General features: G+C 45.3%; 1 protein-coding gene across 5 annotated transcripts, besides 4 other annotated features; it reads right to left on the reverse strand.

Moving 5' to 3' along the window:
• Nucleotides 1-3,708: 3,708 nt before the first annotated feature.
• ZNF354A (zinc finger protein 354A) lies at nt 3,709-22,856 on the reverse strand. 5 transcript variants are annotated; one of them, NM_005649.3, is made up of 5 exons: nt 22,753-22,856; nt 21,187-21,270; nt 19,196-19,322; nt 17,573-17,668; nt 3,709-5,818 (listed from the first exon to the last, which is right to left on the reverse strand). In NM_005649.3, exons 2-5 carry the CDS (start codon nt 21,217-21,219, stop codon nt 4,257-4,259), a joined length of 1,818 nt encoding a protein of 605 aa, NP_005640.2. In that variant the 5' UTR covers nt 21,220-21,270; nt 22,753-22,856; the 3' UTR covers nt 3,709-4,256. The 5 variants fall into 5 exon arrangements, with proteins under 5 accessions (NP_005640.2, XP_016865280.1, XP_047273600.1 ...); XM_017009791.2 differs by having other exon boundaries at nt 22,727-22,856; XM_047417644.1 differs by having other exon boundaries at nt 22,263-22,856.
• Nucleotides 15,540-16,040: an enhancer, noted in NCBI's record as "H3K4me1 hESC enhancer chr5:178150344-178150844 (GRCh37/hg19 assembly coordinates)". NCBI's record gives its function as "activates a minimal SCP1, AML or CMV promoter by ChIP-STARR-seq in naive H9 embryonic stem cells {active_cell/tissue: H9 hESC(naive)}" and the evidence as "EXISTENCE:reporter gene assay evidence [ECO:0000049][PMID:30033119]".
• Nucleotides 16,256-16,456: a silencer, noted in NCBI's record as "peak5604 fragment used in MPRA reporter construct". NCBI's record gives its function as "represses an SCP1 promoter by STARR-seq MPRAs in K562 erythroleukemia cells {active_cell/tissue: K562}" and the evidence as "EXISTENCE:reporter gene assay evidence [ECO:0000049][PMID:32103011]".
• Nucleotides 22,396-22,625: a silencer, noted in NCBI's record as "silent region_16722". NCBI's record gives its function as "represses an Ori minimal core promoter by ATAC-STARR-seq in GM12878 lymphoblastoid cells {active_cell/tissue: GM12878}" and the evidence as "EXISTENCE:reporter gene assay evidence [ECO:0000049][PMID:35858748]".
• Nucleotides 22,696-23,035: a silencer, noted in NCBI's record as "silent region_16723". NCBI's record gives its function as "represses an Ori minimal core promoter by ATAC-STARR-seq in GM12878 lymphoblastoid cells {active_cell/tissue: GM12878}" and the evidence as "EXISTENCE:reporter gene assay evidence [ECO:0000049][PMID:35858748]".

The raw sequence follows: 23,925 nt of genomic DNA on the forward strand, positions 1-23,925 counted from the left end.
CAACCAAAGGAATACAATTTGACTTATTAACTCAATTTAGTTTCTGCAAAAAGCTTCAATTTCCCAGGTCTCATCTAGAAGGGATAAGATAGCTTTATAAGCACAGGTTTTCAAAAGAAAAACATTGCAGAGGCAAAAAAAAAAAAAAAAAAAAAAAAAAAAAAATTCTCATTGTGATTATTTGCATCTGGGGTTATACTGTAAAAAGAGACATTTTAGATCTTTTATATAGTCTCTAATAGTAAACAGAAAGATTACATTTTTATTACTGCAGATTTTATCCTGGCACTTGAAAATTCGTTTGCAATTTTGGAAGCAGGAAATACTTTTGGTGTGTTTCCATTGGTCATTTGAGCTGAAAAGATTGAGTGTGGAAAGTCATTACAATTTCTGCTATGGTTGTTTTATTTTTATCTGAATTTCCTTTCATCGGAAAATTTGTTACTTTATCCGTTTCTTTAGCACTATTTGAGGAAATCATCTATCACTTAGGCTTAGCTGTTAGTATATCCTGCCTTATATCTGACTTTCCAATATGTTCAATACTGAATGAACAATTGTGTACTGTAGAAAGAGCTTCAAAACATCTTTTCTCTGATACCAAATATTTTAAAAATTAATCATGAAACTTATACTTGCATTTTGATTCAAATATACATAAATGAAAATAGGCAATAGGGTAGATCTCATATTAAGTATCCTTAACACAAAATATAAAATAAAAAATAAGTTAATAACAATAATTGAAAATACTAATTTCGATCATCTCACTCACAAGAGTGAAGCATAATTACCAATAAATTGAGGCTGAGCTATTGAAAGGTTGGAAGCTTACAAACTAACAATAAACTTGAACTTGATATGTGACACAGAAAAGTCGAACTTGATGCATGCCTGCAAGGGAGAACTGTGTTTGCAGTAACAGGATCCCTGAAGAAAGCCAGAGCTGATCTTATCCAAAATTTTAAGCAGCTCAGTGTCTGGGACTGGCGAATTTTCAGAGGCAGGGATGTTTATGGACTGTTAGATTTTCAAGCGTGTTAGTGTGGTCACTGGAATTAGACGGTTGTCGACTGGCTAACTTCCAGAAGCACGGTCACTGGAAGGAGGGACTTGCTGACCAACCGTGGTCTAGAAGCAGCACTCAAGTGGCATTCAGAAGCTGGAGGCTGTCAGGAAGTTGATTTCAGAAGCATGGCTGCTGGCAGCGAGGCCATCATTGATTTTTCAGACCACGTGTACTGATCCAAAGATCTAATTATTGGGGATTATTTTACAACTTAGGAATTTGGCCAAAAGAACAGTCTTTTCCTTTCTTTAATACGGAAAACAAGTACTTTTATTCTCACTTCCCCCTTTTGCCTTCCCTCAGTCAAACACATAGGATAAAACATAAGAGATGGTTCAGATCTTTATTTGTGGAGGTATGATTTCCAACTTGTATTGCCACTTAAGCGATTTAAGCGCCAATTACTGAAGCAGAACCGTAGCTCAAAGTGCTGATTTTTCATTAATGAGGGGAGAAACCCTGAATACATTTAAGGCATCCTAACAAAGTTAATACAGGATTCAGGACAAAATCATTAAATACAGGACGTTTGGCAACCCTACCTGTGAGTCAGCTTTCTCCTCACTTGCCACTCTCACCTATTTGCCTATGAAAACCATGCCTTATTTATTCTAATACATGATTATCTGTCTCCTGTTCTCCATCAATGCTGTCCCTGTTTGAGTTGGAACCCTCATTTACCTATTACTTGAATTTAAACAGCCCAGATTTCCTGGGTGGCATCAGTCATCAGCTTTCTTCAACCCCATACGCTTATCTTCTATGGAATTTCCCTTGCTTACCATCTTTGACTCCACCGATTTTACCATAAAATCCAAACTCCTTAGCTTGGCAAATAAGGCCTTTTGTGATTTGGCTTCTGCCTTCTACTCGAGCTTTAACATTTGTCATTTTCCTGCTCACTAGTTCTAAATTAAGTTTTCCAAATGTCCTATTATCCACCTGTGGTTTGGCGCATGCTGTTTCCTCTTAATCGGAATGCTTCTGTCTCCCTCGGAGTTCCTACTATTCTCCCCAAATATAGCCCAGGCATCATTGCCCCTGGAAAGCTTTGATGTCTCCAGGCTTTCTTCATGAGTCTCTTTCTTCATCCTGTGCAAATCTTTACAATATTTTCATAGTGGAACATATTGTCATAACTTATTTGCCTACTGAAACAACAAAAACTGCAATATAATCTGCTTGCTCATTTGCTAGCCCAACTCCATCCCCTTCCCAATTCATGGCTTCTTGAAGAAAAGCCTGTGTCTGTCTTAAAACTTGTACAGTTTTAAAACTTGTAAACTTGTATAGTACCTGCTCCAAAGTTAAAAAATATTTACTGTTGAGAAAAACTTAGGACTGTAATGTCCCCCCTCAAACTGGGAAGGAGCCGAGAGACCAAAGAATGACTCAGACAAGTCCAGCTTGATGAGCAGATGAGTTTATTATGACTTCCATACAGGGCTCTCCTGGACTGCAGCAGGACAGCTCTGGAGATCTGCACCACCTCGCACCTCTAAGCTGCTTTTAAGCCAGTTTTCTGGCTCTTTGCCTCGTGTGTGATTGGACTGTTTGCTTAGTGTGTTCCCAGATACTCTGGGATGTTTGGGTTCTCAGGGACACTTGCTCCTCAGCTGGGCACCATGGCCTCTGCTTACTGTCCAGACTTCAGGGCTCAAGTAGTGGATATAAACCCTTAGGTAACCTGGTAGGGGATCTGTCACACTACACTAAGTTTATGAAACAATTCACATGTCTTGTTTGGGCTGCTGTAACAAAATAACCTCATCATACTAGGTAACTAATAAAATATTTCTCACAGTTCTGGAGGCTGGGAAACCCATTTAAAGTGCTAGCAGGTTTGGTGTCTGGTTATGGCCATCTTGATTCAAAGAAGGTATCTTACCACTGTGCCTTCACATGGCTGAAGGGCAGAACAAGCTCCCTTGGGGCTCTCTGATAAGGGCACTGAGGGCTCCGCCCTTCTGATCTGATCACCTCTTCACACATCCCACTTCATGATACCATCACCTTGGAGGTTAGCATTTGAACACAGGGATTTGGGGGAGACATAAACATTGAGACCATAGCAATGTCCTTTTCAAGAGTTTGCCACAGGTGTTAGATTTGCGAAAGTTCTTCTGATGTGTTCGTTATAAATTTAAAAAATACATATTTAGGGTGGCCGGGCACGGTGGCTCACACCTGTAATCCCAGCACTTTGGGAGGCCGTGGCAGGCAGATCACCTGAGGTCAGGAGTTCAAGACCAGCCTGGCCAACATGGAGAAACCCTGTCTCTACTAAAAATACAAAATAGCCGGGTGTGGTGGCAGGTGCCTGTAATCCCAGCTACTCGAGAGGCTGAGGCAGGAGAATTGCTTGAACCTGGGAGGCGGAGGTTGCAGTGAGCCGAGATCGCACCATTGCACTCCAGCCTGGGTGACAGAGACTCCATCTCAAAATAAAAATAATAATAATAAATACATACATACATATTTAGTAGCTTTAAACCTGAAATTATTGCCTGTTTTTCTATCTAATACAGTTCAGGGCATATAACTGGTACACCTAATAAATGACTTCAGAGAAATAAAATCCAAAACCAAGTTAAGACAGTTGAGTAGAAAATTCACAACTACTAGAACAAAAGACCAGATTTTTCTTTTTCTTTTTTAATGAAATCCATGCATAAGTTTGACATCAGGGTAGGAAAAGGACAAACCCCAGAGACTGAGAGGTAGTTCATAATTCATTTTTCTTTTATTTTGGTCCTTTTCTCTAAAAAGGTACAATTTGATCAAGCTATTAAAATGCTATAAAAATATTACCAGTTTGGTGGTCTTCTAATGAGAAATCTAAAGCACACCTCCCCACCCACTCGGATATCTGTTTCTGATGATCACGTGACATCTAGCATATACGTCTGTAGGAAAAGGGAAAAAGCAAACCCATTTCACAAATGGCTAAAGTCAATGTCTTCAATTGTAAATTCTTCATCTCAGGTTATTTTTTTAAGTGTCTGACAGGCACAAACACTTTCCTCATATCTATTATATAGCTGAGGTTTATCCATGGAATTAAATACCTAATGAGGGCTAAATTATTACAGTTTTTTTCACATCCATTACATTTATTACATCTCTCTCAAGGATGTATTCTTCGATGAGCTTTGGTTTAAGGCTTTCACACATACAAATCTACTTTCTAGGGGTCCTCTTCGATATGAATTTTATAATGATTAGTAAGGGATGACCTATGGTTGAAAAGTTTCCCACATGTATTACATTCATAGGGTTTCTCTCCAGTATGAATTCTCTGATGTGCAATACGTGATGAGCTTTGTCTAAAAGTTTTTCCACATGTATTACATTTAAAGGGTTTTTCTCCTGTATGAATCCTTCGATGCTGAATAAGAGCTGAACTTTGGCCAAAAGATATCCCACATTCCTCACATCGATATGGTTTCTCTCCAGTATGAATTCTCTGGTGATTACTAAGTGATGAGTTACACCTGAATGTTTTCCCACACTCGTTACATTTATAGGGTCTTTCTCCAGTATGCATTCTCTGATGTTGAATGAGAGCTGAACTCTGTCTGAAGGCTTTTCCACATACTTTACATTTACATGGTTTTTCTCCAGTATGAATTCGCTCGTGAATAATAAGTGTTGAGTGGGAGCTTAAGGCTTTACCACATTCATTACAATTATAAAACTTCTCTCCAGTATGAATGATTCGGTGTCTATTAAGTCGTGAAATAGAAGTAAAGCCTTTCCCACATTCATTGCATCTATAGGGCTTTTCTCCGGTGTGAATTCTTTCATGTTGAATAAGAGAGGCACTCTGGCTGAAGGCTCTCCCACATTCACTACATTTAAAAGGCTTCTCTCCAGTGTGAATTCTCTGATGATAACGAAGGGATGAGCTAGACTTAAAGGTGTTGCCACATTCATTACATAAGTAGGACTTCTTTCTAGAATGAATTCTTTGACATCCAGAAAGGGATGTGCTGCAACTAGATGCCTTCCTACCCGGATTATACTTACAAGGGTTTTCTTCAGCATGAATTTTTTGATGTATAAAAAGGCCTGACCTTCGGCTGAAGGATTTACCACATTCTTTACATCTGTAGGATTTCTCCACAGTATGGGTTCTTAGATGTTTATAAAGGGATGTACTGAGAGTAAAGGCTTTCCCACATTCTTTACATATGTAGGGTTTCTCTCCAGTATGCGTTATTTGATGTTGAATAAGAGCTGAACTTTGGCTAAAGGCTTTTGAACATTCTTTACACTTAAATAGTTTCTCTCCACTATGGTTTTTCTCATGTTTACGAAGGGATGAAGTGTTAATGAAGGTTTTTTCACACAGACTACATTTATAGCGTTTATCTGCTGTAATTTTTGGTTGATTAAGTAATTGTGAATTCTGTTTGAGGCTGTTTCCTTGTATTTCACATTTTGGTGGTGTTTTTTCTCTGGGAAGTATCTGTTGCCTAATAAGCACTGACTTTGGGCTGAAGTTTTGGCTCAATTCAGTATTTTTATGGCTTCTTTCTATAGTGGGGATTTTTTTGTGGGTGGCTGAAACTATCTGAAAACTTCCCTTTTTATCCTGCTTTTTCTCTAATCTGCCTTCATATATGTAAGGCTTTTCTAATTTCAAATCCCAAGGTACATTCCTGTTGGATCTTTTCAGTATCAGTCCCTGAAATGAAGAGTCTTGTGTTTGCGTTGACTTTGTGGTTTTATGACTGCTCTTCGATCCTGGAGGGAAAAAAAAAATCAAAAATGTTTCATGTGATATCATAGCATCTGACTACTGAGACTAAAAGTGTAGAAGGAATAAATATTGGTGACATTTAAATAAGACCCTGATATCTGTATGAAAAAAATTGCAAAAAGAAAAAATAGGACAGTTAGACAGTATAATAAAATATAATTGACAGCAATTTAAGTACTAGGGTGAAGAATAAAATAAAGCAAACCCATTTAAAGAGGGTGAGAAAGAGTGACCAGAAGAATTGGCTAATGAAGAACAGAGAAAAGGGTTATAAAGGGATCATGAGTTGAAAGAGGAAGTTTGGGGTTAGGACCCAAAACCCATGATGGAATCCTAATTTTTTTTTGTTTTTTTTTTTTGACATTTATCTTCTTTGTGTAATTTTTTTTGAGACAGTCTCACTCTGTCGCCCAGGCTCGAGTGCAGTGGCGCGATCTCGGCTCACTGCAACCGGTCTCCTGGCTTCAAGCAATTCTTGTGCCTCAGCCTCCTGAGTAGCTGGGATTACAGGCACCCACCATCATGCCTGGCTAATTTTTGTATTTTTAGTAGAGACAGGGTTTCACCGTGTTGGCCAGGCTGGCCTTGAACTCCTGACCTCAAGTGATCTACCCACCTCGGCCTCCCAAAGTGCTTGGATTACAGGCATGAGCCACTGTGCTCAGCCTTTATATAATTATTCTTAATCTGGAAAGTCCCTCCACCCCATGTCAAATTCCCTTATATCCTTCAGATTCAGTTCAAAAATGGACTCTCTCAATCCTTTGACTCTGAGCAGCCACGGTCCCTTCTCCTTACTATAGCACTTACCAGAGTATTAAACATATGTATTACTGACCTTTATAATATATGCACACATATATAGTATATTATAGTTCTATATCTATGTCTGTATGTATCTCACTTTCCTTTTCTGAAGTAACTGTTCTTCACAAGCAGATCAGAATGCCCTATTTTCCTACAGATCCTCTTGACAGCACTCCAATTATATACAAAAGTTGTATGTTTTGTTAATCTGCCTTAATTACTTATACATTCCTAACTGGAACAATGTCAAATATTCTTACGTATTTCATATATATACAAATATGCACATGTGTTATACATACATACACATACATACTTCATATATATACAAATATGCACATGTGTTATACATACATACACATACACATTTCAGACCCTTGTAGAAGTTGCCTCCTAGGCCAGTACATGGGTGATTAGAGAGGTTTCAGGGCCAGTTCAAACAGGAGGGCCCTGTTATTGAATTAATCGACAAGAGGTGCCACAAGACAGGCCTAGAGCCAAGAGGTGCAAGATAGGAAGGCAGCCTACTCATGCATCAAGCAAGAGAGGTTACATGGGATGGCTGAAAAGAGTCAAAGATCAACAATAAGACAGGCATGGATATATAAGATAAAGCATGGTTAACATGGAAAAGTAAAGAACAGAAGTGAAGAAATATTAAAATTGGATAAGAACACAATTCAATAGATAGTAAATTCTCTCAGGGGAACGGTTATGCACATAGTCTTAGCATCTTCTCTTGGGGTAGAGGTAACTGTTTAAAGGGACCATTTGTGTCTCACTGTATTTGCGATTCCTGTATGACAGTCACTTTCACACATCTACAAATTACTTCTGCTTAACAAACACAATACATCTTGCTTTTCCCTTATTAGTGTTCACTTACTAGTTCCCTTCATGGATAACTCTTCTTCCATTCCTTCTTTAAATAATGGTATTCCCTAGGGTTTTGGATTTTTTTTTCACTCCACACACCCTCCCTGACTAACTTCACATGCCTTATATCTTTATACTATTTACTGTAAGGGAAAGCAGAGTTTCTTAACTTTATGCTTAACACCTTCCTAGTTCCTTCTCCGTTTCAGTCTTGCTAAATTAAGTGATCAAATTTTAATACATTATTTAGGCCAAATATATGGAGGGGGCAGTGGCAAAAATGAAGTGCTTTTTCCCTGTGAATATCGGTCGTTGTTTCTAGGCTTAATATATGTGCTGGGAAGAAGGCAGCAGCAAGATTCTGCAACTTGGATTCTAGCTTGTAAGGCAATGATACAGAACCTGCCTTAGGCCTAGTGTAAAGAAAGGTCCCTCACCTTTGCTACAGCCCTGAGCACGGGGATCAGGTACTTAAGTGGTATTTTGTTTGCCATGCATTACTATCTCTACCATAATCTCCTAACTAGTCTTGCCCTCTGCCAATTCAGTCTCCACACTGCAGCCAGAATAATCTCTGTGGTTTTTTTTTTTTTTGAGATGGAGTCTCACTGTGTCACCCAGGCTGGAGTGCAGTGGCGCGACCTCGGCTCACTGCAACCTCCCCCTCCCAGGTTCAAGTGATTCTCCTGCCTCAGCCTCCTAAGTAGCTGGGATTACAGGTGTGCGCCACCACACCTGGCTAATTTTTGTATTTTTAGTAGAGACAGGGTTTCACCATGTTGGTCAGGCTGGTCTCGAACTCCTGATCTCATGTTCCGCCCACCTCAGCCTCCCCAAAGCGCTGGGATTACAGGTGTGAGCCATCATGCCCGGCCAATCTTTCTAAGATCAATATTTTACTATGTGGCAAACTTCCTTAAGGTCCTCCAATAGATTTTCAATGATTCACATCTGAAGTCTCTTAAGAGTCTTGAAGACTCTTAGGCGTCCTTAACATGGTGAATAGAGTACTATCTGATCTGACCTTTATCCACCTGTCCTCACCCCCTCTTCCCTGGCTTCTTGCCAGGTATGCTGAACTACATGCAGCTTCAGGAGCACTCCATGACTTGACTTGTTTATCTTTACATATGCTGGCAGCATCCTTTCCATTCACAAGTACTCATTAAGTGCCTACTATGGGCCAGGTAATGTTCTGGGGAATGCAGATAATGTATTCAATAAGACAGGGTTCCAGCCTTTAAGGAGCTTATACTTTGGAGTGTGCGCATGTGCTGGGGAAGGAGGGGGATGAAGGGACAAATAACAAGTACGTAATAAAAGTCATGTGGATAGCTGAAGAAAGTGCTCAAGAGCTCCCTGGGCAAAGGAACCAACACACACAAAAGTGAGGCTGACTTAGGAACAGCAGAGAGACTGGCCAGAGTAGAGCGAGAAGAGGGAAAATGGTGAAATGATAAAATAAGCCTGGAACGGGGCCGGGCGTGGTGGCTCACAGCTGCAATCCTAGCACTTTGGGAGGCCGAGGTGGGTGCATCACCTGAGATCAGGAATTCAAGGCCAGCCTGGCCAACACGGTGAAATCTGTTATCTACTAAAAATACAAAAATCAGCCGGGTGTGGTGGCACACGCCCATAATCCCAGGTACTCGGGAGGCTGAGGCAGAGAATTGCTTGAACCCAGGAGGCAGAGGCTGCAGTGAGCCCAGATCACATGACTGCACACCAGCCTGGGCGACAGAGTGAGACTCCATCTCAAAAAAAAAAAAAAAAAAAGTAAACAAAAAATAAAAAACAAAAGAGTGGAGCAGGAGGTGGGGGACAAATCCTCTAAGGCCCAGGTCATCCTAAGGACTGGAATTTAAGCCTACGGGAAGCCACTGGGGAATTATGTGTTCATTTGAGTTGGCTGCTGCGTGGACCGACTACGCTGGGGCACCAGTGGAAGCAGGGAGGGGAGAGGCTACTGAAGAAGCTACTGCAGCTCTTCACGTGAGAAAGGGCTGGAGGTACAGATGACTATGCCAGGCTGTACAGTGAAGGAAGAGCTAGCGGGACCAAGAATAACAAGACTCAGGACTCCCAGGAAGCTGAGAGGGAAACAGGAAAGTTAGGGATCATGCCTAGGTTTCTAGCCAGAATTCTGAGAGCTGCCACCAACCACCAAGAAGGGAAAGACCAGGAAAGGGGCAAGGCTAGAAGGGGAAGACCAGGAAAGGGGCAAGGCTGAGGGGGCATTCTGTTTCTGGTATGTTTGTGATGGCTGAGATGCCTTAATAGAGTTGCAGGAAGATACTGAAATACTAGATTGTATTTATTATTCTGGAGATCTGGGGGAGGTCAGAGCTATAGACAGGCATTTGGGGGTCAGCAGCATGTGGGTTTGATTTAAAGCTGAAGAACTGAAAGGAATCACTTAGACACTGAAATATTACGAGGTTAAGAAGAATAATATCAGGAGAGTACAGTGTTCCAGAAGCCAAGGGAAGAAGTACTTCAGGGAGGAGTGAATAACTGTGGCAAATAATTTGAGGACTAAAAACTTAATCCTGATTGTGGCAAGACGGAGGTTGTTTGGGATTTAATAACAGAGCTATCAGTGGAATTATAAGGAAGAAAGCCCAGCTGGAGTGCATGGAGGAAACAATGGGAGGTGAGAAAATAGAAACATCAAGAGCAGAAACCCTTTTCAACAGTTTCTAAAGGAGAGTAAGCAAATGTGACATGGGGAGCTTTTATTTTTTAATGGATATGATTACGACTCGGAAGTCCATTATCAATTCTGGAAAACTCATCCCAACTCTAAAGTGCCAATATTTTAGTCCTGAAATCATGTTTTTCACAGAAGCAGACGTAAGTTTTGGATTGTGGATATCCTGACTCTTCCTTATGATCTGTTTAGAACTTTCTAGAGGCCTACAAATAGGTCTCCTGAGGTGCAGTTCAACCTTTGCTTCCTCCTAGAATCAAGCCCAGTCCTCAGCTACCTGTTAAACAAGGTGAAGACCTAGGTCAGAAGTTGAGAAGCCAGAATCATCTTGCTGATGGCCACTGCCCTGACCACTTCCTGTTATCAGGTCTAGACTCTTCCACCTGGACTCTCACTACACCCAGAGAGTGTTTCTTCAACCCTATCTCCCTGGATGATTTCATTTACTCCCACACCTCTTATGTGTACGACTATCCTGAAAAATACTTTACAGAGGTCTTTCCAACTGCCGGTTAGAATTTCCACTTGTGTATCTTTCTTTTTAAATTCAGCCTGTCCAAATCTGAACCCAGAGCATTCCTTTTCAAACCTTTTTTATATGTTTTCCAGTTCAAAATGACACCATCATCTCTTCAGTTAATTTACCGTAAATTCTTAGTTTTATCTTAGAATTTCTCTTCCCTAGGCAGTCATCAAAATCTTCATTTTTTTGTTTTTTGAGAGACAGGGTCTTGCTCTGTTGCCCAGGCTGAAATGCACTGGTGCCATCATAGCTCACTGCAGCCTCAAACTCCAGGGCTCAAGCGATTCTCCCACCTCAGCCTCCTGAGCAGCAGGAACTACGGGTGCACACTGCCAAGCTTGGCTAATATTTTTATCTTGCGTAGTGACAGGGTTTCATTGTGTTGCCCAGGCTGCACATTCTCTTAAATCTCATCACTAAAATGTCTCTAATAAGCCATCGTGAATATGTCTAAGTTCAGGATCTCCTCACTGTAGAGTGACTTGCTCCTGATCTTAAGTTATTCCTTTGACCTGTTTCTTGCCTTTCCAGTATTATTTCCCACTGGATTTACCCCTCTTAATACACAGAATTGGTCATGTTATTTCAAAAAGCATTGGTCACGCCTTACTTTATTAATTTATCAAATATTTAAAAAGTACCTACTATGTATTAGGCTCTATCCTAGGCATCGGTGATCCACAGTTCCCTACGGATCCAGTAATTAAAAGGAACAGTTGATTTCTTCAGAGAGTTTATAGTCAGACATTAGAAATGAAGACATCAGTAGGTAATCACAATACAATGTGACAATTTCTACAATAGAAACATAAGCTAGAAATGGACGTGAACACGAGCTTAGAATCATATCCAACTGTCCTTAGATAGTGAGGGTGCAGGTAGAAAAGGGGTGCAGCAGGACGCTGCTGGAGTGTTTCGTAAGAATTGACATATAAGATAGGATGTGAAAGGAATCGCCATAGGCTAGATGAAGGGGTAGCACAAGGGCTGAAGGCAGCACCCAAGTCTTTGAATGCAAGTCAGTTTTCCAGACTTATTTGCTGAAGTATCCACCCCCACCTTATCCTATAGCTAGTCAGAGTAAAAGCTCCACCTATAAAAATGTCACTTGCGGCCGGGCGCGGTGGCTCACGCCTGTAATCCCAGCACTTTGGGAGGCCGAGGCGGGCGGATCACGAGGTCAGGAGATCGAGACCATCCCGGCTAAAACGGTGAAACCCCGTCTCTACTAAAAATACAAAAAATTAGCCGGGCGTAGTGGCGGGCGCCTGTAGTCCCAGCTACTTGGGAGGCTGAGGCAGGAGAATGGCGTGAACCCGGGAGGCGGAGCTTGCAGTGAGCCGAGATCCCGCCACCGCACTCCAGCCTGGGCGACAGAGCGAGACTCCGTCTCAAAAAAAAAAAAAAATGTCACTTGCATTTGCAGTCTCACAAGGTTTTCTAGAGTCAGAGAACTCAAGGAGCAATCTGCTGGGAACTGCACATAAACCATGATGGGGGTAGTACTGCCTATTTGTAAACATCCTCTATCATCTTTGTGCTGGTGGAAAAGAGAAAAGCTGTTTTAGAAATGTTGTTGTGGTAACTCTTATTTTTAAAGCTTTTAACATAGAAATTTTCAGCATATGTAAAAGTAGTGTGAATTGTACAGTGAATCTCCAGCCAGTTTCAATAACCAGCAACACTATTCTATTGACAACCTTGTTATGGGCTGAACCGCATCATTCAAAAGAGAGACGTAGAAGTCCTAACTTCCAGGACCTCAGAACGTGACCTTACTTTAAAATATGGTCTTTGCACGTTCAATCAAATTAAGATGAAGTCATTGGGGTGAGCCCTAATCCAGCGTGACTGCTGTCCCCGTAAACTGGGGAAATTTGGACACAGGCATCCAGAAGGAAAGATGATGTGAAGACACCGGGCGAACACAGTGTGAAGACGGAGGCACAGATAGGACTGATGCAGCTGCAGGCCACGGAGATCTCCAAGTTGGCCATCGCTACAAGCTAGCAAAAGGCAAGGAAGAATTCTATGCAGAGTCTCAGAGGGAGCGGGGCCCTGCGAATATCTTGATTTTGACCTTCAGAACTGTGAGACAGTAAATCTCTACTGTTTTAAGCCACGAAGCTTGTGGTACTTCAGTATGGAGCCCTAGCAAACTAACACAAACCCTTTCATCTCGTCCACTAGGTTATGCTAGAGCACATCCCAGACAGCAAAATCATTTCATCTGTAAAAACATCAAAACCGCTCTTAGCACATCCATCAAAATTAACACCACTGCTTGCAGTTACTTTTGCCCCTAGAATACCTACACTAATAAGTCAAACTGCTGCAATGTAAAGGCAATTCAAATAATTCTTTTTGTGGCTAAGCCACCAACCTGGAACACAATTAGGGTTGTTTCATTCTGCTTTCAATATGTAGGGGGTACTTTCTCATTTTTGTTTAATTTTGTCTTATAATTTTATAAACCATTTTTATAGTTCTGAAGTCAAAATTTTGAGACCTCAAAAAGTCATAGATTCTACCCCTGTTCCATCCTTTTTCTTCCTTCACCTTAGAGATAACCATTTTTATTGATCTCCTTTTTTTTCTTTTGCTTTTATCTTTCTAAAAAAAATAATTGCACTGCTTAATGACTGGGATATGTTCTGAGATACGCGTTGTTGGCGATGTTGTGCAGTCATCAGAGTGTGTTACACAAATCTAGATGGTATAGGCTACTACACACCTAGGCTATACCCCTATACAGCATGTTACTTAGCTGAATACTGTAGGCTACTGTAACACAATTGTAAGTATTTGTGCATCTCAACATATTAAAACATAGAAAAGGGACAGGAAAAATGCAGTATTATCATCTATGGGAGCATCATCATATATGTAGGCTATCATTGACTGAAACATTATGTGCTCCATGACAGTGTAAGTAAATACACACACACTTTTCTTGGTATTCCCACCCACCTTTCTTAGATAACAGTACTAACTGTGCTGTTCTGCACTTATTCTCACATTCTGGAGATCACTCCATAGTAGAAGTTACAGAGGTCCTCCTCATTCCACTTTACAGCTGTGTGGACGTACCACAGTTTATCATCCTTGGAGTGCCTTAGCTTTAGTTCTAGGCCCCCAGTTCTTCTCACTCTGCATCTTTCCACAGGCAACTTCAATCATAGACTCATCCTCTAAGCAAGATATCTCCCATACTCGACTCCCCCTTACAGACGACCTACTCAAAAGAGCAGTTCAGATGCCTCAAAGTCAACACACCTAAAACCACACTCACGATTCTTCCCTCCGACCTGGTCAACCCCTTGTCTCTGTAAATGGCACCACCTCTGAATCAAAACCTTAAGAGTTATCCTTAATAATTCTCCCTCCCTCAGCCCCCTCATCTAATCAATTACCAAGACCTGTTTATTCTGCCATCTAAATCTGCCTCACATTCGTCTACTTTTCCCCATCTACTGCTACCATTCCATCATGAGCCTTGCCTCCAATGTCACCTGCCTCTCCTGATTTTCCTTACAGTACGCTTTTACCTGTCTTCCCTATGGGTTCATTTCTCTCTGCCTGGCTTCCTGAAATGCTGGAGTTCCTCAAGATTCAGTCTTAGGCTCTTTCTTACTCTTACTGTAATGTGAACACTCTCCCTAGGCCAACTCATCCTCTCCCATTATTTCAATCACCCTATATTGATCAGGTTCTCCCAAATTTACATTTCAAGCTCAGTCTACATTTTGAGGTACTGTACTCCGAAATCAACACTACTTGTCATCGCCACTGGGATAACTAGGTCAACCAAAAACAGCTCAATTAATCTAAAACCAAATTTACATCATCTCCAAATCTGATCTCCTTCTAGTGTTCCTATCTCACTGAATGACATCACCAACCGTCACAGAACAAACCAGAAACCAAGCAAGCATCCCTGACAACCCCATCTCCCTTTTGTTTGCTTTTATTTTCTTTGTTACCCCATCTCCTCTATCTTCCATGTCTAACAGTCCTGCTGGCTGTATCTCCTGGACATCCCTGGGACTGGTTCACTTCTTTCTGTCTCCAACACCACTAACCTAGTCCAAGTCACTCGTGCATTCATTATACAACTGGACGCATACCCTGGCCAGGGACTGTTTTAGGTTCTTGGAAAACAGGAGTGAATGAAACAGGCAACCCCTCCCACAGCAGCTTACAATGCAGAGGCAGAGACAGATCATGAAGAAACAGATCTATTACACAGCGCTAAGCACGAGGAGGGAAAATAAAGCACGGTGAGGAGATGGCGTGGGGGCTGCAGGGCTGCGTGTCAGATGATCTGTGCCTGTGTGAGCCGAAGCCTGTGCAGCACAAGGAAGTGAGCGAGCCACATGGACGCATGACCGCCACGAAGAACAGTCCCAGACAGAAAAAGCAGGGCAGAGGCCCTGAGTGGGGGCCTGCTTGGCGCCCCCCATGACACACTGCAGGGCGGCCAAGGGTGATCAGAGGCCTCGAATGAAGGGCAGAGTGGAAGGAGCTGAGAGTGAAGAGGTAGCCAGGGCCAGACCACGTAGTGTATTTCTCCCAAAGGAGAGTTAAAAAGATAAACAAGTGTGGTTCCCATATAAAAAAATCTCACCTTTCTTCAGGGAGGAGAAAGCTCTCCCCAGCACAGGGGCTGTGGGGACCGAGGCTGCCTGCCCTGCAGCTCCTTGCTGGGCCCATGGCATAAGGGGCCATCACTGAGCCCTCTGGACCTGACAAGCCCTGCACTGTGGCCGTCAGGTTCTCCACATGGGCTGGCGGCTGCAGAAAGCAGCCTAGGCCTGCCCTGGGCTACTTACGGCTCCTCAGAACCTGTGCCTGGCTCTCAAGCACCAACCAAACCCTGTGACAGGGCCCGTGGCTCTCTCTCGGGTGCTCCACCTTCTCCTCGCTGGCTTTGCTTCTCTGGACCTTCATGAACACCTTTCTTTAGGCCTGAGCAATTCTTCAGTCCTTTGATCCCAGGCCCTTCCACAGGGAAGCCTTTGCTGACGCCACCTGCCTGCTCTGCACTCTCACAGCACCGAGTGTCTTTCCCACGTGGTCCTCACTGGAATGTGTCCTTCTGTGCCTTGTGTGCAATGAGTGTGTTCACCTTGTCCCCCACTAGATCGTGCACTCCAGAAGCAGGAGACCTGTGTCCCTTTCTGCCCAATGCTATACAAAGCTGTGGGCGAGGGTTCAACCTTGATCCCCCAGAGCCAGAGCCCCCCCAGTTCAACCACTCTCAGTCCCCCACTGCCACGATGGCCCCTCCCCGTTTCTCTACTCTGATTACTTCTCGGGCTCTGTCAGATTCCTCCTGCTTAAGCACCTCGCAAATGCTGTTTCCTGAAATTCGGGCCTCCACTTGGCCCCCTCACCTGGCCAGCTCCAAGCTTCTAATGCCCATCATGCTAATGGGCTCCCTGACCTCCCTTGAGTCTCGGCCCTGTCACTTACACACCTGCCCACCAGGGTTCCCCACCTGACGACTTCACTCACATCTCAAGTGAAATCCATCCCACACCCAACTGCTCCTGTACCCTGATCACGTGGGCGCCGCCTCCTCCCTCACGAACTCACGGCAAGTGCCTTCATCCAGGCCCTTCCACCTCCTGCCTCCCTCCATGACTGCAATCGCTCTGCAAGGCTTCCCGCCTTTTTTTTTTTTTTTAAGACAGAGTCTCACTCTGTCGCCAAGGCTGGAGTGAAGTGGCGCAATCTCGGCTCACTGCAACCTCCGCCTCCCGGGTTCAAGTGTTTCTCCTGTCTCAGCCTCCGGAGTAGCTGGGATTACAGGCCTGCCCCACCACGCTTGGCTAATTTTTGTATTTTTAGTAGAGGCAGGGTTTTGCCATGTTGCCCAGGCTGGTCTCAAACTCCTGACCTCAGGTGATCCGCCCGCCTCGGCCTCTGAAAGTGCTAGGATGACAGGCGTGAGCCACCGTGCCCAGCGTTCTGCCTCACTTTCAAACACGATGCTTCCAAAGTGACCATTCTTGTGAATTCAAATCACATAAGAACGTCACAAATATATTCTCTTTGTGAAACATTAAAATACTACATGTAAGTAATGCCCCCTTCCATGGACCCATTCTCAATCCCATTCCAAGTGTAACTAATGTCATCAGCTAAGGTGTGTCCTCCTAACCTTTCTCTCTGCTTATGTGCACATTACACATACACATAATTTTCATTAGACATAAATGGTGGCGTCCTAACAATGCTCTGTAACTTTTTGGGAGCTCTGTCCACGTCCCTGGACTCTTGTTTTCAGGGTGGTGATGCTCACAGGTCCCTTAGCTGTTCTTACACGGATGGAGACTCAGCTGTTTCTGATTCACACCAACTTTTCTAAGATACCAAGGACCATATGATTCCTGCCCAAATCCTTCCATTATTTCCAGTGCTCCATGGGACAGTTTCCACCTCTTAGAACCGTGCCCAAGCACTTACCACGCGGCCCTTCCCTAGCTTTCTAGGCTATTTCCTTCCTCACCTCCTCCTTTCCCAAATACACCCTGAGCTTCAGCCAGAGTGATTATTTGAAATTCCTTAAATAGACTATGTTTGCTGAATGAATACATGAAAATACAGCCCTATTCTAAAACAACAGGAAAGAGTAAGAAAGAGATTCTGAGAGATTCATGGGGAAGTGAATCCTGCCTAAGAGCCTGGGCTTCCGCTTCCCCATCACTTCTTGAGGCCTGAGAATTCTCAAGGGAGTTTCCCAACCAACGTTCCTACCTCCTCTCATTAACCAGACCATTGTCTGCGGCCATTCCGCACCTCGGGCCACCCACTTACCTAGAGAGGAGACGCCAGAACCGTCTTTCTCCACCTCCCAGGGATCTTCTCCTTGCTGCAACAGGGAGATCACTTTTGGTTTGGTAAATGGGAGCCCTGCACATAAACAAAAAACCACAACCAAACAAATCAGACTTGGTTTTGTATTGATACAGTTATCCCAAATTTAAATACAGAACTCACAGGATGGTACAAAGAGCTTCTGTGTAGGGCTTCAGTTGTGCCCCTGGGAGGTAAGGGGGTAAGGCGGTAGGGTGAGGAAAAGACAAGTGACTTGTAGGACATGACTCTGGGACAATTAATTATAGGTTAGGAAAATATGATCAACATGCAGTATTGGTAATAGGATACCACTAGCTTTCTATAGAAGAGGAAATGTTAAGATATACAGACTGATTAGAATTTCTAAGTAGGTTATCTATGAAAAGGATTATGTACCAGGTAGCTTGTCTAAAACGAGAAAACACTATCTGACTCCGCTTTTTTTTTCTGAGGAGGAGTCTCGCTCTATTGCCAGGCTGGAGTGCAGTGGCGCAATCTTGGCTCACTGCAACCTCCGTCTCCCGGGTTCAAGTGATTTTCCTGCCTCAGTCTCCCAAGTAGCGGGGACTACAGGAACATGCCACCACGCCTAAGTTTTGTATTTTCAGTAGAGACAGGGTTTCACCATGTTGGCCAGGATGGTCTTGATCTTCTGACCTTGTGATCTGCCCGCCTCGGCCTCCCAAAGTGCTGGGATTACAGGTGTGAGCCACCGCGCCCGGCCTATGTGACTCCCTTTTAAGGATGGCAGTGATCAGCAAACTACGGGTCATGGGCCAAATTCAGACCACTGCCTGTTTATGTATGGCCCTGTGCAAAGAATGGTGGGAAAAAAAAAGAGAAATATGTTACGGAGACCATTACGCAGCCCACAAAGCCTAAAGTCTTTACTACGTGGCTTTTTTTTTTTTGAGACAGAGTCTCGCTTTGTCGCCCAGGCTGGAGTGCAGTGGCGGGAACTTGGCTCACTGCAAGCTCCTCGCCATTCTCCTGCCTCAGCCTTCAAAGTAGCGGGGACTACAGGCGCCCGGCATCACACCCAGCTAATTTTTTTTGTGTTTTTTAGTAGAGACAGGCTTTCACCACGTTAGCCAGAATGGTCTCTATCTCTTGACCTCATGATCTGCCCGCCTTGGCCTCCCAAAGTGCTGGGATTACAGGTGTGAGCCACCATGCCCAGCCTACATGGCTTTTTATAGTAAAAGTTTGCTAATCCCTGGAAAAGACAAGTGGGAAAGGCAGGTGGTAGGCCTAGAGGCTGAATGAAGCTCCCTGTTGGGAGACAAGCAAACTACAGAATCGTTGGGAAACGATGCCTGAATCATGGACAAACTTGGAGTGTGTGATTACATAGAGAGAGAGGAATGATTATCAATACCACCTCTTCCATTCCCAGACACAGGGCAATTTCATGCCTATAAGGGGGAATAGGTTTTTAATGTTTATTTATAAAGATCTGATTTGTACAATCCTCACACACTCAGCTCAAATTTTTCAGTGACCAACCGCTTTTATTCAGGGAAGGAGGTGCTGAGATATCCCAATTTTTGAATTCTGTTTCTAGAGGGAAAATTTCCTTACCCAGTGAGACCAGGTTCCTATAGTTCTCCAGCATCACATCCCGGTACAAGTTTCTCTGAGAAGGGGCCAGCTTTCTCCACTCATCTCGGGTAAACAGCACAGCCACATCCTCAAACGTCAGTGACACCTGTAAGGACAAGTCGTTCCAGCTCACCCAGGACCACCCTCACAGAGCAGAGGGGGCGGCAGTGGGAAAGACACGCTACCCGTGAAACACTTCCCATACTATTCAAGCTTCTGAAGGTTCCAGATCATTCGTTTAATGAATAATTGGCCAGTAACAAATGTATACTGAGCAGCACACAGTGAGATTCAGGCCTAGTGCAGCCACTGTAAGAGATGGGTAGAGGAATTACGGCCATTAGTGGGAGTGTTAATTAGAAAACTCTTTCTGATGGCGATTTGCTAATACATATTAGAACCCTCAAAGTATACTCTTTAAAGTACCAATTACTCTATTTGTACGATAATGAACAGTGCACAAAAGTACACACAAACATATTCATGGTGTTTTTAAGAGCAAAAAACCAGGAATAATCTAAATACTTAATGATGGAGGTTAGGTTAAGCAACTGAAGGTACTCTCTATGTGCTTACTCAAGCTTAAGGATAGTAATGACGAAAAGTAAAATAGCTATAATTTATTGAAGGCTTTCTATGGGCCAAGTATTGATCTTAGAGCTTTATGTTAATTTGCAGTGTATAATCTTTATTTAACATTCACAACAATCCTATCAAGACGATACCATTATTGTTGCCACTTTACACAAGAGAAAACAAAGTCACAGACAAGATAAGAAATTTGTCCAGGTCACACAGACACAGTCACTGACCAGCTGTGTGACTTGTACACATTTTTTTTTTTCTTTGAGACAGAGTTTGGCTCTTGTTGCCTAGGCTGGAGTGCAATGGCATGATCTTGGCTTACTGTAACCTCCACCTTCCGGGTTCCAATGATTCTCTTGCCTCGGCCTCCTGAGTAGGTGGGATTACAGGTGCTAGACACCATGCCCGGCTAATTTTTGTATTTTTAGTAGAGACAGGGTTCCACCATGCTGGTCTCAAACTCCTAACCTCAGGCGATCTGCCGGCCTCGACCTCCCAAAGTGCTGGGATTACAGGTGTGAGCCACTGTGGCCGGCTGACTTCTACAAATTTTGTATCCTCTCTGTGACTTTGTTTTTTCTTGTGTAATTCAAATCCAGCAGATGTCTCACTGAGCTTGCATTCTTAACTACTCTGTAAAACTGCCTTTTAATGCCTGCCCCTTAGGGTTAAGAAATAAATGTGATAATCTACACAATAAAGATGGATAGCGATGATGGCTGCACAGCAATGCGGAAGTACCTAAAATACCACTGAATTATACACTTAAAAAGTTAAAATGGTATATTTTATGTTATATATATTTTGCCACAATAAAAAAAGGTTAAAATGGTAACATAGATGGTAACATGCATACACAAACACACACACACAAATAAATGTGTACAGAAAATGATTTATTCGGGCTGGGTGCAGTGGCGCACATCTGTAATCCCAGCACTTTGGGAGGCTGAGGCGGGTGGATCACCTGAGGTCAGGAGTTTGAGACCAGCCTGGCCAACGTGGTGAAACCCCATCTCTAATAAAAGCACAAAAAAAAAAACTTAGCCGGGCGTGATGGCGGGAGCCTGTAATCCCAGCTACTTGGGAGGCTGAGGCAGGAGAATTGCTTCAACCTGGGAGGCAGAGGTTGCAGCGAGCCGAGATCCCGCCACTGCCTGGGCGACAAAGCGAGATTCAAAAAAAAAAAAAAAAAAGAGAACCACTAGACACGGGTGGGGAGGGTGGGTGGTCCTCCCTACAGAATCCACCACTCATGAGGGCGGACCAGCTCCTCCAAGAGAAAAGGACTTGGGCTCCATCCTGGCTGGAGATGGTCCCGGGTGAAGAACTCCAGTTAGTGGGGAAAATCCATCCACTGGGATCTGGGAGGGCAATGAGCTCACCTGGGGCCTCGCTTCCCGCTGCCCAGCAGCCATGTCCTCTTTCTGGCTCTCCCGGGAGGACGGCGCAGTCTCCAGAAGGCAGATCTGAGAAGAAAAAGGGAGCCAGGAAGAACCCCTTCTGCTTTCCAGCCCTGGAATCCGCAGCTCTAAAACCCCGACTCCCGCTGAGAAGGACCCCGCGCGCCCTCACAGGGATTCGGGAGGAGCCAGGAGCCCGCGGACCAGAGCAGCGCTGGGCCGCCCGGCCAGGCCCAGGCCCCACAGGCTTGGGGCTTACGGAGGGGACGCTGGAGCCGCAGTGGCAGCAGCGACCCGCTGAGCCCACCAGGGCCAGGGCTCGCCCCACGCCGCTGAGTTCCTCGGCGCCAGCTGGCACTGCCAGCACCCACTGCACCGCTCAGGAAACTGAGGCAGCGCCGGGGCACCTGCCCCGTTCACGCCGCTGCGAGGCGGGCCGGGACTCCCACCACGACGGCCCCGGGACGACTTCCCTCCGCCTCAAGCCTTTCCCAGCCGGTTCCTCTCTCTCCCGCCAACGAATCATCTCCCGACTCCACGGAAAACGGCTTTTTTTTTTTTGAGGCGGAGTCTCGCTCTGTTGGCCAGACTGGAGTGCAGTAGCGCAGTGGCAGGATCTCGGCTCACTGCAAGCTCTGCCTCCCGGGTTCAAGCCATTCTCCTGCCTCAGCCTCCCGAGTAGCTGGGACTACAGGCGCCCGGCTCATTTTTGTATTTTTAGTAGAGACGAGGTTTCACCGTGTTGCCCAGGCTGGTCTCGAACTCCTGATCTCAGGTGATCTGCCCGCCTTGGCATCCCAAAAATCTAGGATTACAGGCGTGAGCCACCACGCCCGACCCCATGTATCCCATTTCTAACACGATGTTTCTTTTTTGAGACGGAGTCTCGCTCTGTCGCTCAGGCTGGAGTGCAGGGCTTGATCTCGGCTCACTGCAAGCTCCGCCTCCTGGGTTCACGCCATTCTCCTGCCTCGGCCTCACAAGTAGCTGGGACTACAGGCGCCCGCCACTACGCCCGGCTAATTTTTTTTGTATTTTTAGTAGAGACGGGGTTTCACCGTGTTAGTCAGGATGGTCTCGATCTCCTGACCTCGTGATCCACCCGCTTCGGCCTCCCAAAGTGCTGGGATTACAGGCGTGAGCCACCGCGCCCGGCCAAACACCAGCTCTGAAGAGGAAAGCGCTGGGTGTCCCGAGGCGGGAGGGGTGGCCGTCCTGGGGACGGACTCGGAAACCGGGGCCCGGCTGCGTCCGCCCTGCCCTCGGGGTCCCGGTGCCCCGAGTCCGCGAGGCCCACATGGAGTGGGCAGGACGGGCCCGGGAGGAAACGCCAGGCCCGGCGTCCACGGCGAGCCGGACGCGGGTGCACCAGCAACGGCGAGGGAGCGCCCCGCGGGGGGGCGAGAGTCCAGATCCCGGCGCGGGGGCCGGTGACAGACGCGGGGGTGCCCGCCAGCGCCCACAAAGGCTTTCGGAGCCTCGGCAGCCGCAGGCAGTCCCCGTGCCGGGCGCCGCCTCCTACCGGCTTGGCCTGCCGCCGACGCTCACCTCCCTAAGCTCGAGCGTCCCGGGCCGCGCCTCCCCAGCCGCGAGGCTCCGGAACCGCCGGCCGGGATGCAGCCTCGCGACCCGGCTCCGCCCCGACGGCGTCTGGGCGACCTCAGGCCCGGCGCCGCTCACCCCGCGGCGCGCCGGGGACCAGGAGGGGCGGGGCAGCCGCTGAGGCCGCTGGGAAATGGAGTCCACGAGAGGACACCTGCATTCGGGGAAGTGTAGTTCCATGCGTTTGAGGCGGGGTCCCGGCTGAGCTGTTACGCGCCCACATGCCACAAGAGGGCCCCTGTGAGCTGGAGGGCCCCAGGTTCCTGGTTATAGGGAAGATAAGGGGAGGTTCGCTGAGGGCAGTAACTTGCAACTCTGTGTCTGTGGGAATTTCGGGAGGGAGGGCGTGGGCGGCAGGAAAACGGCCCAGAACAGACCTAGTGCCCCTCAGTTATTCACCAGAGGGGCACTGAGCACCTGCTGTGTGCCAAGCACGGTTGCAAGTGGTTTCACATGTATCAATCAATGAAAGAAACGTCACTGCCCTGGAGAACATTTTTTTGGGGGGTAGGGAGCAGACAATAAGCCATACACATAATTATATAACATTTTCGGGGATAAATGTGAGGAGAAACAGGGTATGTGGAGGGGTTTCGTCGCTGAGGTGAGAATGGACGAGGACTCCCAGGAAGTGCCTGAAGCAAAGGGGAGGGAGGTGCCAGCTACTGTGAAGCCAACGGATGTATGTATGTATATGTGTGTGTGTGTGTGTGTATATATATATATATTTTTTTTAAACTAAATCTTCTCAGTTACAAAAAGAACACCGGCTCCATTTAGAAAGTTTGGCGCTTCCCTACTTAAGAATATGCCTTGAACATTTGAATTTGTCAATAAATATTCTCCCTCAGTGGCATTTTTGATAGCTTCATTGCATTCCATTGCATTTATTTTTTTAAAAAAAACGTTTAATTGGCTGGGGGCGGTGGCTCATGTCTGTAATCCCAGCACTTTGGGAGGCCGAGGCGGGTTGATCACGACGTTAGTTCAAGACCAGCCTGGCCGAGATGGTGAAACCCCGTCTCTACTAAAAATACAAAAATTAGCTGGGCGTGGTAGCGGGCGCCTGTAGTCCCAGCAACTCAGGAGGCTGAGGCAGAGAATTGCTTGAACCGGGAG

The sequence above is a fragment of the Homo sapiens genome, chromosome 5, assembly GCF_000001405.40.
Source record: "Homo sapiens chromosome 5, GRCh38.p14 Primary Assembly".
Taxonomy (NCBI): Eukaryota; Metazoa; Chordata; class Mammalia; order Primates; family Hominidae; genus Homo; species Homo sapiens.

Bases quoted from the DNA above. Each gene is read 5' to 3' on its own strand.
- ZNF354A (NM_005649.3), bottom strand. From the start codon at position 21,219: ATGGCTGCTGGGCAGCGGGAAGCGAGGCCCCAG. The intron at 19,323-21,186 runs GTGAGCTCATTG...TTGTCCTTACAG, and splicing joins AGCGGGAAGCGAGGCCCCAG to GTGTCACTGACGTTTGAGGA. The intron at 5,819-17,572 runs GTAAGTGGGTGG...TTTTCCCTCCAG, and splicing joins TTCTGGCGTCTCCTCTCTAG to GATCGAAGAGCAGTCATAAA.